The 14,458-nt window shown below is 38.3% G+C and overlaps 1 annotated feature.

Annotated features, from left to right (window-relative positions):
- Window positions 599-688: a silencer, noted in NCBI's record as "silent region_4374". NCBI's record gives its function as "represses an Ori minimal core promoter by ATAC-STARR-seq in GM12878 lymphoblastoid cells {active_cell/tissue: GM12878}" and the evidence as "EXISTENCE:reporter gene assay evidence [ECO:0000049][PMID:35858748]".

A 14,458-nucleotide genomic window follows, 5' to 3' on the forward strand; every position in this document is an offset into this window, starting at 1 on the left:
GGCGGATCATGAGATCGGGAGATTGAGACCATCCTGGCCAACATGGTGAAATCCCATCTCTACTAAAAATACAAAAATTAGCCCTGCGTGGTGGCACGCGCCTGTAATCCCAGCTACTCAGGAGGCTGAGGCAGGAGAATCGCTTGAACCCGGGAGGCAGAGGTTGCAGTGAGCCAAGATCATGCCACTGCACTCCAGCCTAGTGACAGAGCACGACTCCATCTCAAAAAAAAAAAAAAAAGTAAAACCAAAAAAAATTTGTAGTCCATGTCAGAATAATTGTCTATATGTTATGATATATAATATATAGTGTCATATTTATATAAAAGTACATAATTTAGAGCTATGCATTTATAACACTATATATACATTTATCTTTATACACACACACACACACACACACACACCTCAAACTTGCAAACCAACTAGTCTGTATAAGTTACTTACAGTTAGTGAATTAATCAGCCAGATAAGTTTTTCTTGCGTATAGTCAGAGAAATGGTCTATATTCTCCAATGCATGTATATTGTATTAATTAACGTGGTTCATGCTGTTGTGAAGCTGCAGCTGTTGAGACTGTGTAGAGCTGAGCGCTGTCCAGAAGGAGGAGCACAGGTTGCCCTGAAGCTGATGCTCTTGTCTGCACTGTTGCCATGGAGCCCGTGCATATACGCTTACTACCAGTGTGGAGCAATCATTTCCTATTCCATTCAGTACCTTTTTATATCTTGTGATTTTGATTGATGTGAATGTATTATGTATTATCTATTCAAAAGATTAAATAGATTTTAAAGATTAATTTTTTAAAATTAGTGTGAAAGTTCTGGCTCAAGATGAGTGAATGAGCATACATTTTCCAACTCTCTCATGACCTGATTCAATTTCAGGAATAATGTGAAATGGAATAAATCCATGGAATAAAGCGTGCCTTCAGCAGGTAAGAAATTATGTTTTTCTAGAAGTTGGAATGCAAATGGGCTCAAATGGTCAGAGAAAACAAAGAGAAGAAATCATGATTCCAAATGCTCATAGAATAAAACTACAGAGGAGGTAGGAGACATTCTTCCAGAGTAGGCTTCTAGAGAATCCAAGTTCACAGTCAGCAGGTACAAAGATCAAGATGTTTGGGCTGAACGGCAAAAATTTTGAGGAACCACTAAGCTCCTCAACTTCCTCTCATATGAGCAGAGAGCAGCCAGTTGAGCATTTTCATTTCTACTGGGTATGGCTGTTGGGACTGGAGAAAAAGTAGAAAAGAGCCTAAAGTGGACCGCCAAAACAAAAATCAAGAGAACATAGCATGTGTGCTGAATCTAGAGGCTCTAGAACACTGATTGACTGAGCTAGAATCAGCTCATCCCCAAGAGTCAAGCCCTCCTTGCTGATTGGCAATTGCCTCCCTGTCTATGAACTATAAGAGATGCCTGCATCCACTGGAACTACCCTCTTGCCCAAAGAACTCTGCTTGTCAGGGAAGAAGGTTGTTGGGTAATCAGATCTATACAACTGTAAAGCAAGCTCAGCTGCCCACCTATACTAATTAACATGGTCCTTTTGAGGAAAACTAATAACAAAAAGAAAAAGATCAATATCAATATCAATAAGCAACAAACAATTAATTCAGAAGAAAGAGATGATGCAAGGAATAGAAAAAAAACCTTTGTAAATTAAAGATAGTATTCTCAAGGAGATTTAGGAAGATATTGCAAGATTAGAACAAAAATAGGCTGCTATTAAAAGATCAATAAGAAAATAAGTGGCACAGTCAGTCACATCTGTAATCTCAGCACTTTGGAAGGCCAAGGCAAGAGGATTGCTTGAGTCCAGGAGCTTGAGACCAGTCTGGGCAACATAGCAAGAACCCCATCTCTACAAAAAATTTGAAAATTAGCCAGGTGTGGTAAAACTTACCTGTCGTCCCAGCTACTCAGGAGGTTAAGGTGGAAGGATCGCTTGAGCCCAGAGGTTTAGGTTGCAGTAGCCGTGATTGTGCCACTGCACTCCAACCTGGGTGATGCAGTGAGACCCTGTCTTAAAAAAAAAAAAAGAAAAGAAGAGGCCTCAAAATATGATTGTTAAAAGAAAAAAATAGAACAGCTAAATTATAGAATTAACAGAATGAGCCAGTATGGTGGCAAGCACCTATAGTCCCAGCTAGTCAGGAGGTTGAGGTGGGAGGATTGCCTGAGCTCAGGAGTTTGAGGTTGCAGTGAGCTGTGATCACACCCCTGCACTCCAGCTCCAGCCTGGGTGATAGAGTGAGACTCTGTCTCAAAACAAACAAAAAGAACATAATAAACAAGGTTAAAGCTCAAATTAGTGATCTTGTAAATAAAGTTGTAACCAGATGAAATGACTTGCACCTGTAATCCCAGCTACTTGGGAGGCTGAGGCAGGAGGATCACATGAGAATTCCTGTCCTCAAGTCATCCTCTGGCCTCAGCCTGTGCGATATGCTGACAGCCCATCTCTCTAAAAAAAAAAAAAAAAAAAGAATAAAGAAAGAAAACAAAGTTATGAAAATGTTAGATATTACTATAAAAGAAAGCACAAATAATATAATGGAGACTGTACATATATTAATAGAATAAAATGTCCCTGGGAGAAAAGCTAGAATCCTCAAAATGAAAGAGTTCTCTGAGCATTAATGAATATAAAAGGAAAACACTACACCTAGACATATCCTGGTGAAATTTTAGAACTTTGAGTATAAAGAGAAAATGCTGCTTGGGTATGGTGCCTCACGCCTGAATCCCAGCATTTTGTGAGGCCAAGGCAGGAGGATTGCTTGAGCTCAGGAGCTTGAGACCAGCCTGAGCAACATAGTAAGACCTCATATCTACTAAAAACAAAAATTAAAAAATTAGCTGGGCATGGTGGTGCATTCCTGTAGTCCCAGCTATTCAGGAGGCTGAGGTGGGAGGATCGCTTGAGAGATGGCAGCTGTAGTGGGCTATGATCACGCCACTGCACTCCAGCCTGGGTGACAGAGCGAGACCCTGTCGCCTAAAAATAAAATAAAGTAAAAAAGAGAAAATGCTAAAATATCTCAGAATGGTTAAAACATTTAAAAGCAGACTACCCACAAAGGAAATAGAATTAAGCATCTGAAGAGCAACACATGAGTTTCCACAAAACTTAAGAGAAAATGATTTCAAATCTAGAATCTTATACTCAGATTAACTATTAGTTAAAGGTGAGGGAAAATCATGGCATTTTCAGGTTTATAGTAATGGCTAATATTTAATGAACTCTTACTATGAGCCAGTTGTATCTCCATGCTCGTTGCAATTATTAACTTATTTATTTTATACTCAGAACAGCCCAGCTAGTTCGGTACTATTATTATCACTGGTTTTACAAATGAAAAACCAGAAGTATAGAGAAGTTGAGAAACCTGCCAAAGATCATGCCACTCGTAGAAGGCAGAGTTGGGTTTTGAATCCAGGAAGTTTGGCTGCAGACTCTACACTCTTAACTACTACACAACAGTGCCACTCTGTTGGTCAGGCACTCAGAAAATTTATGTCCCATGTAGCCTCTTTGAAAAAAAAAATGCTTGAGGATATACTACAATAAAATGAAAAAGGAAGTCAAGAAAGAGGGAAGCGTCAGATCCTAGAAAGAGTGGCACTAACCTGGGGGTCAGGCCATTTCAGGACAACAGCATGTCTATGAAATTAAAACAGAAAATCAGAACATTCCATGAAAAAATGTCATCAAAAGAGAAAGATTCTATTGTTCGAATTGTATGATTAAAACCCTGAAGTTCTTAATAGTAAAATGATGGCGTGTATTTCCCCTGGAAACAAGAAAAAAGAAAAGCAATTGAGAACTCAATGATGAGCCATTTTTTGGAGTGAAAGAAAAGAGAATATTCAGAACATTCTCATTCTAAAGGGGTAGATTTATTCCATGAACATTTCTGTCTTTATGAGTCCAATCATACCATTTGTTTCTTCAATGTGTAATATTTACTTACTCAATATTGTAAATGCAATTTACTGCTTTTCCATTTGTAGTTAATTATAGGAAAAGCATGGAAAACTTAATTACACTTTCTGTAGACTAGAAAGAAAATAATAAAAGCCTTATAATATACAAGTACTGTCACAGTTAATAGAAGACAAAAGGAAGAAAGAAGAGGAGAGGTGTATGCAGGGGAAATCAAGGTGTACTTATTTCTCCATTTTATAGAGCAATGAGTTAGCAAATAGAAATACAGAATATCACAAATGTATAAAGGTAAACATTAAAATAGGTAAACACATACCTGTGAAAGCTGTCAGAATCAAAATGGAGTCACTAATGTTAAGAAAACTTTGACTAATAGAGCCCAGGAAGGCCATAAAGAAAGGGCTCTCACATTTGTATGCCTGCCTGATGGCAAAAAAAGATGCTACAAAAACCACAATTTCAGACAAAGGCCATTGCAACCTTATACACAAAAAAAACTTATGCCAGGACATCTGCCCAGCAGCTGCCTATCTAAACTCGGACTGGCAACACCCTTATTATTGATCTTTGTAGCCAAGGATAATTATTTCAAAACAATTATGTAATCTTCTTCACTTTTTCCTTTAAAAACCTTTGTCAGGCTGGGCGCGGTGGCTCACTCCTGTAATCCCAGCATTTTGAGAGGCCGAGGTGGGTGGATCACGAGTTCAGGAGTTCAAGACCAGCCTGGCCAACATGGTGAAACCCCGTCTCTACTAAAAATACAAAAAATTAGCCGGGTGTTGTGGCGGGTGCCTGTAATCTCAGCTACTCAGGAGACTGAGGGAGAGAATTGCTTCAACCAGGGAGGCAGAGGTTGCAGTGAGCCGAGATCGCACCACTGCACTCCAATCTGGGCAAGAGAACGTCTCAAAAAAAAAAAAAAAAAACAAACAAACAAAAAAACCTTTGTCATCCTTTGCCTTCCTAAATACAAACACAGTTTACTGTGGCACATGTATTCCATTGTAATGCCCTATTCCCAAATAAATATCTTTTTATTTTAGAGAGACTCTGTTATTTAGGTTGACATACCTAAGTAAAGCATAGAGGTGAAGAAAGAAAAAGGAGGTGGGATGAATATAAGTCCACTAAATTCTTGACCTTTCATAGTATAAAGCTGATACAAACTAAATTTTATAAAACAACAGACATAAAAGTAGAATTTATAATGGTACCTACTAGACTGAAATCAGAATGGTGAAAAGGATGAACTTTGCTTTGCTGTTGATGTTTGTTTTTACCATAAGCATGTTTTACTTTTAAAACAGATTGGGTTGATGAATGGATAAATAGATGAATAAGTAGAAGTAGCGTAAGTAGAAAGCTATACTACTTTCTAGAAGGCAGGACATCTAGGCAGAAACACAGGGAAAGACTAAGAGTTACCTAAATGAGAAGAGAAAAGAGTATTTCAGGCAGAGGGTCTTGCCCAAAGGAAAGAGATAGTAGGGAATACAAAAAAACAGAAGGAAGTTCATTGGCTGAAATGCGGAATAGAAGGGAAAAATTGAAATGAGGCTGGAGAGATAGACAAGAGTCAGAGATTGTGAGCCATGTTAAGGATTCAAAAGGGAAGCAACTGAGGGGTTCTAAAAAGGGGAGTGTGGTAGCCATAGGATGCATCATTCAAATCATCCTCCAAAAGAGGACCAGTTGCGAGGAGCATAGTCAGCTAACAGCTTCTTCCAGCTGTGCACCTTCTGGTTCCTCTGTAGTGTGCATGCTGAGGTCATGCTTCCCTTGGGCTGCTTCCAGCCAATGACTAAGCACAATGCAATGAAGGTATTAGAGCCAGGCCATTGCTGCCCAACACGGGACTCCTCTCACAGGCCATCTACTTCTCCATCAGGGTAGCCAAGAGTTTCTCAAAAGTGTGCTGGCATCCAAGGTGCTTTCTACCTAATTCTCCTTGCTCCCTCCCCCTTTTCTATAACATGGTCTGAGGCTCTCCCCATACACTCCTCCTCTTCCCTTTGTCTTTCACAGGTATTTTCTCCTCCAATAAATCTCTCTCACTTCTAGTTTTGTCTTACCATTTGTTTTCCAGAGGACTCCAACTGACCCAGGGAGTGATATGAAGTCTCATTTTACTGTAGAGGGTAGAATAATGGTGGTGAGATGAATATAAAGGAGAAATGAGTAGGCTGTTGCAGAAATGTTTATGAAATCTTACTTAAGCCAAGACAAGGATAGTAGAATTGAAGAGAAGTGGATGTGTTAATATTATATATGGGGATTTGCATTGACAGTTCTTGATGATTTATTAGCAGTGAAAGGAAAAGCAGAAGTCAAAGGTGATTCCAAGTTTCTGGCTGGATGTATGTATCATTTACTGACATAAAGAGCAACTGGTTGTTCCTCACACCAACCCCCATCATAGAATAGCTATTCTGCTGATGTCATAGCTGAATCCCAAGAGTTCATTTTCCTTTCTCAGAGCTGATACTCTTCACAATAACATAATGGATATCAAATTGAGGCAGAGGTCCCTCGCACTTTCCTTGCAGAAGCTGTGATGTTCTTCACACAAAAGAATGGGGAGCTCTGAGCAGCCTGGGCAACATGGCAAAATCCCAACTCTACAGAAAAAAAAAAAATATTAGCCAGGTGTCATTGAACACCTGTGGTCCCAGCTACTTGGGAGGCTGAGGTGGGAGGATCACCTGAGCCCAAGAGATTGAGGCTGCAGTGAGCCATGATCATGCCACTGCACTCCAGTGTGGGCAATGAAGTAAGACTTTATCAAAAAAAAAAAAAAAAAAAGAATGGTGAGCTCTATATAAGGACCACCATAGCATTTTGTAACCATTACCCACACCACTGCTCTTCAGCCTGCTCTCTCAGTTGTTAGCTTGATGAGACACAGGCTTTTACAAAACTATATCTCCCCAAAGGCCATATAACTCTCCTTATAAGAGAGAGACAGGAGATAAGTGAGATAGAAGATGACAACTGAAGGAGAGAAAGATTAGAGTTGGCCAGGCACGGTGGCTCATGCCTATAATCCCAGCACTTTGGGAGGCTGAGGCAGGTGAGTCACCCAAGGTCAGGAGTTTGAGACCAGCCTGGCCAACATGGTGAAAACCCATCTCTAATAAAAAGTACAAAAATTAGCCAAATGTAGTGGTGTGCGCCTGTAGTCCCCGCCACTCGAGAGGCTGAGGCAGGAGAATCACTTGAACCCGGAGGCAGAGGTTTCAGTGAGTTGAGACTGTGCCACTGCACTCCAGCCTGGGCAGCAGTGCAAGACTCCATCTCAAAAAATAAAAAAAAAAATAAGAGAGAGAGAGAGAGAGAGATTAGAGTGATGCTTCCAATCAAGCCAATGCCAACAGCCTCTACAATCTTGAAGAGGAAAAGGATAGATTCTTCCCTAGAGCCTCCAAAAAGAGCTAGCCCTTCCTACACCTTGACTTAAGCCCAGTTAAACTGATTTCAGACTTCTGGCCCCTAGAACTATAACAATAAATTTGTATTGTTTTAAGCCACAAAATTTTTGGCAATTTGTTACAGCAGCCATAAGAAATTAACAGAAAAGCTAAAGAACTGATTTACCTTTGTCCTGGTCCTGGCTTACCCCCACCAACAGCCAGATCCTTCCAACATTGGCAAGAGAGATGCCTCTACCTCCAGGATTCTAGCTCCTGAAAACTTCTACTACTGTACCTATGTCTTATGGAATCTGATCTGATGGGAGTCTCTTCCTTTTGAAAGCATTATCTTGAACAGCCCATGAATACATGGACAACATGCTCACACTATCATATGCACTGGAGAAGCTTATCTAGACATGATAACTCAGATCACAGCAGGCTAGTGGATTGAACTTTATGCAACAGTTCAATATTACCATCAAGTAAATACCCCTAAAGCTTCCAGATGGTCCCAAATTGCTCCTGGATATCCTCTACCCAGAAGACTTTGTGGAAATTCAACCTACATTTAACTCACCAAAGCAGTCTGATGCAAGCACACAAAGCTCCAATATAACACTAATCTTATGGTTAAAACACACACATATATACATATGTGTGTATATGTGTGTATATAATATATCCCCCATAGTAATATATAGGATATATTCACATATATTATCTTAACTGGTTATCTCAGGATGGTGGAATTACAGATAATTTTTACCTTCTTTCTTGTACTTTTATATATTATAAATTATATTAATGAACAAACATTTCTTTATATTCAGAAAGTCTAATTTTAAAAACTAAAAGAAATTAAATACAAAATCAATAAAAATTAAGCTAAAATAATTAAAAACCCAATAAAAATTTTTAAGAATGAAGAATTTTTAAGTAACAGAGTTAAAGTACATTAAAATATATAAGATATGAGTAGAAACCACAGCTAAAGAGTTAAAGCATTAAAGTAAGCAAAAAAAGTAGAAATACAAATCATAAATTTAATAGTAAAATTTTATAAGAGCATAAAACAGAATTTAAATTCTTAAAGTCTAGAAACAAGGACTCATGGTGAAGTAAAGCAAGCTTAAAACAGAAAGATAAAAGATTTAATAGGTAGAAGGAAAATGAAAAAGAAATAGAAAAAAATCAAATAGCAAACACTTAGCAGCAAGAAAAAGTTACATAAAGCCAGGATGCTGAACTAGTCGACAGAGTATGTCTTCAGTAAAATAAGTAAAGATAAAGGGAAAGAATAGAGTCCTAAAGTAAAGAAATCCTATTGTAGACCAACTAATAGCCTCAGTTCTTAGTAGTTTCCTACCTTTCTGGGAAAATCCCCTCTGATCCTATTGTACTCTTTATTGACTCAAACCTCAGGGAAAGGAGCCACAAGACACGCTTCTTCTTTCTTCTTTTGGCCACAGCTGTGTTTTTACCAGTTCTGTGAAAGAGGGACTTGGCCCTAAAGAAAGTAGTCTCCATCTCTCAGAAGCCTCAGCCAGCTATGAACATTTAGTTCCTGGAAACAGCTGGCCTCTTATGTGCTAGAGACAAAGGAACATGCTTCCTCCGGAACAACCATTTACAACTTTGTTTTATTTCATTCACTGATTTACCAAACACACAATCTACAAAGGTTCCCTATATCATGTTCCCTTTTATAATATTCTGTTCTTGCCCTTCATAGGCTTTTCATAGTTTGCAATAATTTATTTACGTGCTTACTCTTTTAACATCTCTTTATCTTAGTAGATTATAAGCTTCGCGAGAGCAGAGATCACATTATTTTGCTCATCATTAGAGAATACAGTGTTGGCTCTTAGTGGGCACTCAACAAGTATTGATGGAATGGATAGATGAAAGGATAGATGTGTAGATTTGAGCATGGATAGGTTATACCATCCATAGCATATATACCATAGCATATACCAAGCCCTGTGCTAGCGGTATTATTTATCTTTGTAACCCGGCACCTCCCATAACACATGGTGTATAGTGTGGCTCTATAGATTTGTTGGCTATATCCTAGGCACCAGGGATGTAAAGATGAGTAGAGTGCTTTTTGGTCTTCCAGAAAACAAGTTTTAGGGAGAGAACTACATAAACTAAGAATTAGAGCAATGTGAGGTATATGGCATGTTACAAACACAAACAGGGCACTATGGAAGCACAGAAAAGAGTGTGCTTAACTGCATTCGGAGCTCAAAGAAGCCTCCTAAAGGAAGCTACATTTGAATTGAATCTTAAAGTAAGCCCAGAAGCTTTCTGAATGAAGAACAGAGGAAAAGCATTCCAGAACATAATATATAAAGACAGAGAGGATCGTTGGAAGGATCATGACTCCTCTAACATGGCTGAAAACACAAGATGCTGTAGAGGAGTGACAGATAAGGCTGGAATGAAGGCCAGACTGAACTAAAACATTTTAGCTTTTTCTTGTAAATGATGACAAGACTTGGGATGACAAATGTGAGAGAGAAAGACATGGTCAGATTTGCACTTTAGAAAGGGCACTTTAGCCAAAGTATAGCTAAGAAGTTGGAAGGGCGAGAAAATATAGGCATCAGTTAGAATTCATGTGAGAAATGATGAGGGCTTGAATGTGGCAGTGGCAGTAAAAATAGAGAAGAGATAAATTCAGGGGCTACTAAAAAGGTAGAATAGACAGAAAAAGACAGTTACCACCCGGATGTGGAGACTTGGTGGAAAGGGGTTGCCATGGTGACTCACAGTTTCCCAGTTTGAGCACCTAGGTGAACTATGGTGCCATTAACCAAAAATTGGGAAGGGAAAGAAGAGGAGAATGTTTGAGGATATGTTGCCTTTAGGTACCCCAATCTAAAAGAAAGGATACAATAATTGAAAAAGTAAGTCTGCAACTCATGATAGGAGTCAGAGAATGGGATGAGATTTGGCAATGATCATTTCATGGATGATAGTAGCAGGTGCCCAGGAAATAGAGAAGAGAATGAGGAGAAGGAGGCTGAATGTGGAGCCCTGTGGAAGATGTACTATTCATTTCAGTATCAAATTATAGCTTATTTGGTGTAGATTGCTTCCACTGGCTTAATTTTAATAACTTATTCACTCTGGTTAGAGAATTCCATAATTTAATTTTAGTTAAGTGTATGTATGCAGTGTTGACACTTGCTGTTTATAATAACTCAAGGCTAATATTTTAATCTTTTTAAACGTTTTAATTATTTATATAATGAAAACGTAAACAACATGCTGCACAAGTCATTTTATACCTTTGTCTTAATTAAAAAATAAACATATAGACACAGACAAATTTTGAAGTGACTTCCTCCATGCCTCCTCCTTCCTCTGCTTGCCTACTGTTTCTATTACTGAAATATTATTACAACTGCACCCTGCTTTTGCGAGAAAGTCACCTGAAAAATTGTCATTACCAAGTTCTTAAAGAGCTGCCAGAACAAAAATCCAAAAAAAAAAAAAAAAACAGAGCAAGTTAATGGTTATTAGCATATTCATAAACTGAGACATAAGGTCAAACTCTTTATTTTCATTCCAAAAAGTCATCTACTTATGTCACTGACCCTGCCTTTTTTTTCTACTATAGCCAATAATAGATTAATGGTTGTGTGATTTGAACAAATTCTCAGAAGCATTTATACTTAAAAAAAATATGAATATCCAGAAGAAAGGGGTTTTTTTTTTTTTAATAGTTAAAAGTATTTGTTAAGTTAAGATACTGCAAGGGTTTAGGCAGCTCAGTAAATAACTTCAGGAGAACAATCTGTTGTCCTTTAACAGGCTCTTAATCTCAAGGGTAAAATCTCTTTCCATTCATTGATATTTGCAATAAAAATTGTGACGGCTTCATGCTGAAGTAATTTCCTTGCTAATGTAATGGCATTAAGATATTCAAATTATCATTGTCTTTTGTACTGGGTGTTTTCAAAGAAGTGTGAAGATAGGGAGAATTTCCTTAGCATATTATTCATCATGTGGCACAAATCACCTCCCTGCTAGCTTGGAGAAAAATTGTATGAGAAAATTCAAGATGCATGAAAAAAATTATCTTGGACATTGAAAATTAAAACAACATGGGCACAAAAACCAGAAGACAGATGTTTTGTTTATACCACATAGCACCTCCAAAGTTGGCCTGATATTTAGGCAAAGAAGTGGCCACTTAAATGATGTGAGTCAATTTTATCTGCCTGATTGGAAAAAGGGATGATGATGATATTGGTGGGCTGGGGAGGAATGGAAAACACTGGTGGGATATCCACCCCAGCTGGTGTCCAGGCTGTTGACACCATCAAGAGAAGGAATTCAAGGATGAGTCAGAAAATAGTGAAAATATGGAGATTTATTACAAAGTGAAAAATCCACACTTAAGAAAGGGGAGTGTGGGCGTACTCAAGAAAGCGTCACACAAGGGAGTTTGGGGCTTCTCCCTTTAGGGCTTCTTTAACCAAGGGGTGGTATATTTATGAAGATTCCTGGAAAAAGTTGAAGATTTCTTGGAACTATGGTGCCATCCATTTTTACACCAAACAGGGGGTTTCCAGAACTGTCATGGCACTGACGGGTTTGTGATTTGTATGTTAATGAGCATATAATGAGGTCCTAGGAGAAACCTAGGTCAAATCCAGCACCATGTAGGGTCTAGTCGGTCATAGCCAGCTTGGCCCACACCCTGGTTTTTCAGGGTCTTATCAGCCCCTAGCTTACGCAGGTATTTCAACAGTTTCCTTTTGCTGCTCATGTGAAACTACTGCCTGGAATTTTCTATTCTCCTGTGACCACCCTGTATTATTCCTATCTCAATGAGAATGAGACAGTGCTTTTTTCTACTGTGTCATTTCTTGAATCCTGGCCTACCCTGAGATGAGTAAGCAGGGATGAGTGGAAGTTTTTTTCTCCCCTCCTCTGGTAAAGCCTAGATCCTAAAATGTTACTTTGTGAATTATAAATATAAACACCTCCTCCCCTGTCCTTTTATGCTATTGTCTTCAATAAAACAGATTTTTTTCTCTTAGAAAAATATCAAGACAGTTATTTTTTAAAATGACTTTGACTCCCAGACACATTCCCCAGTCACTTCAAGTGTGTTTTGTCTCTGCTGTTTGCATACATGTTTCCCTACTTCTCTCACCACATCCCAGCATCCAGAAGCTCCCCAGTCCCAACACTCATTCTCATTGTTCAGGGCCAACCTGAATGTCTCACCTCCGTGCAGCCATCCCTTATCCCCTGTCCCAATCCCCTCACCCCAAATCAATCAATTAATCTATATGAAGTGCTCTGAACATTGTCTGGAATATAAAATATATTATATGAGTATTGGCTGCCATTAACATCATTGTGTGTGTTTCTAAAGTACTTTCCACAAACCTTTGCTGTGCATGACTTTCATCTTGTCACTTAGCTTCTTTCCTCACTTATTTACTCAAAATTCACCTTAGTGAGGTCTTCCCGACCAAAATTTCAAAACCCTCCTTTAAATCTCCTTTTCTGATTTTTAAAATCTTTAGCATTTCTCACTATGCACATTTTTCTGCATTATCTTGTTTATTGAATGTCTCTGTCATCAGAATGAAAGCTCCATGGGGGCAGTAAATAGTTATGCAATGAATGAATGAATGTGCTTGCATATATTTTTACCTACTAAGACTCTATATCGTCAGAGAACCTAATATACCATATGGCACTCAGTAGACCAGCTGAGTAAGAGGAAGATCTAGAATCCTAAGGCCATTCCAAAGAATGGCACATTTGAAAGGGTGCCTCAGCGTGAAACACTCAACTGGCTACATAATGAAGGCATTGAGTGTTAGAAGGAGAGGAAAAAATCCCTAACATGGACATAATAACTTATGTCCTTTTCTAGACTACAGTGCCTAAGGACATCTCTGGGTCCTAGGCACATTGTTTATATTTAGTAAAAATTTATAAAGATTACTGATACATAGTATTTGGCAAAGAAAGATAAAAACTGACATATAAACTATTTGCTTATGAAGGATAAATTTAAGGTTAGATAAAAAAAAAAAACCTCATGTTGCTATATTGTATGACGGGTATGGTTTGCAAAAAGCATAATCCAGGGCCATTTTCCGCATTATATTAAATGGTGTTTCTATACTGAAATCAACTCCAAACTTATACCATAAAATATTGTGAAAATGTCATAGGTAGTTAGTGCAAGGTAGTTTTTAAATAGGGAGTCATTACTTTCGAATATCCATGGAACTTAACATTTTCTTACTTAATTTTTATCAAAAGATTTCAGGGAGTTTGGAACGTCTCACAAAATAGCTACTGAACAGGAATATGGAGAGAAGCAAAGTTTGTTAACTGGAATAAAATAAACCTACTTGGAACTTGGAACTCAAAATTCAAGCTCACTTACAAGGTGTCTGCCATGCCCTGCTCACAGAGTATACATTCCTGGTCAAGAATGTTAAGTCCTAAATAATCCTATCTTGGATGACACAGGAACTGATGAAAAAAGATAACCCAATGGCTTTATCACACCAAATATTCTATCACACAGATCAGAAAGAAGTTTTGACTCTAATCCCACTTAGTGGCTGTGTGAACTCAAGTAAGTAACTTAACCCCACTGATCTTCCATTGCCTTGTTTCAAAATGAGAATAGCATATTAGCACTGCCTTACCCAGTTGTTGTGAGGAGCTAATAAAATACTGTGTGTTAAAACGTGTGGTAAACCCTGAAGTGCTATACAAATGTGATGTATTATTTTTGTTCTTTAAAGGTCTTTTGACACCTAATCTTTGCCTCCATAAATGACCTCTTTGTTTTCAAGCTTGCTTTTGTCTGATCTTACACTGGCTCAAATTTTAATCTCTTACCTAGTGAAGTTATTTCTTTAGACCTTGCCTCTGCCCAGCTCTTTCTTGGACTACTAGAACCTAATTACTTCTGTGGCTTCTGTTTGACTCAGCATTCAATAGTATGGTTACTCTGAGCCTGCCATGTAAGAACTGTGAATGTAAACTAAGGGCTTATCCCCCTGTCTACTGTAATCCATCTAAGTAATATG

Source organism: Homo sapiens, chromosome 12, assembly GCF_000001405.40.
Source record: "Homo sapiens chromosome 12, GRCh38.p14 Primary Assembly".
Lineage (NCBI taxonomy): Eukaryota > Metazoa > Chordata > Mammalia > Primates > Hominidae > Homo > Homo sapiens.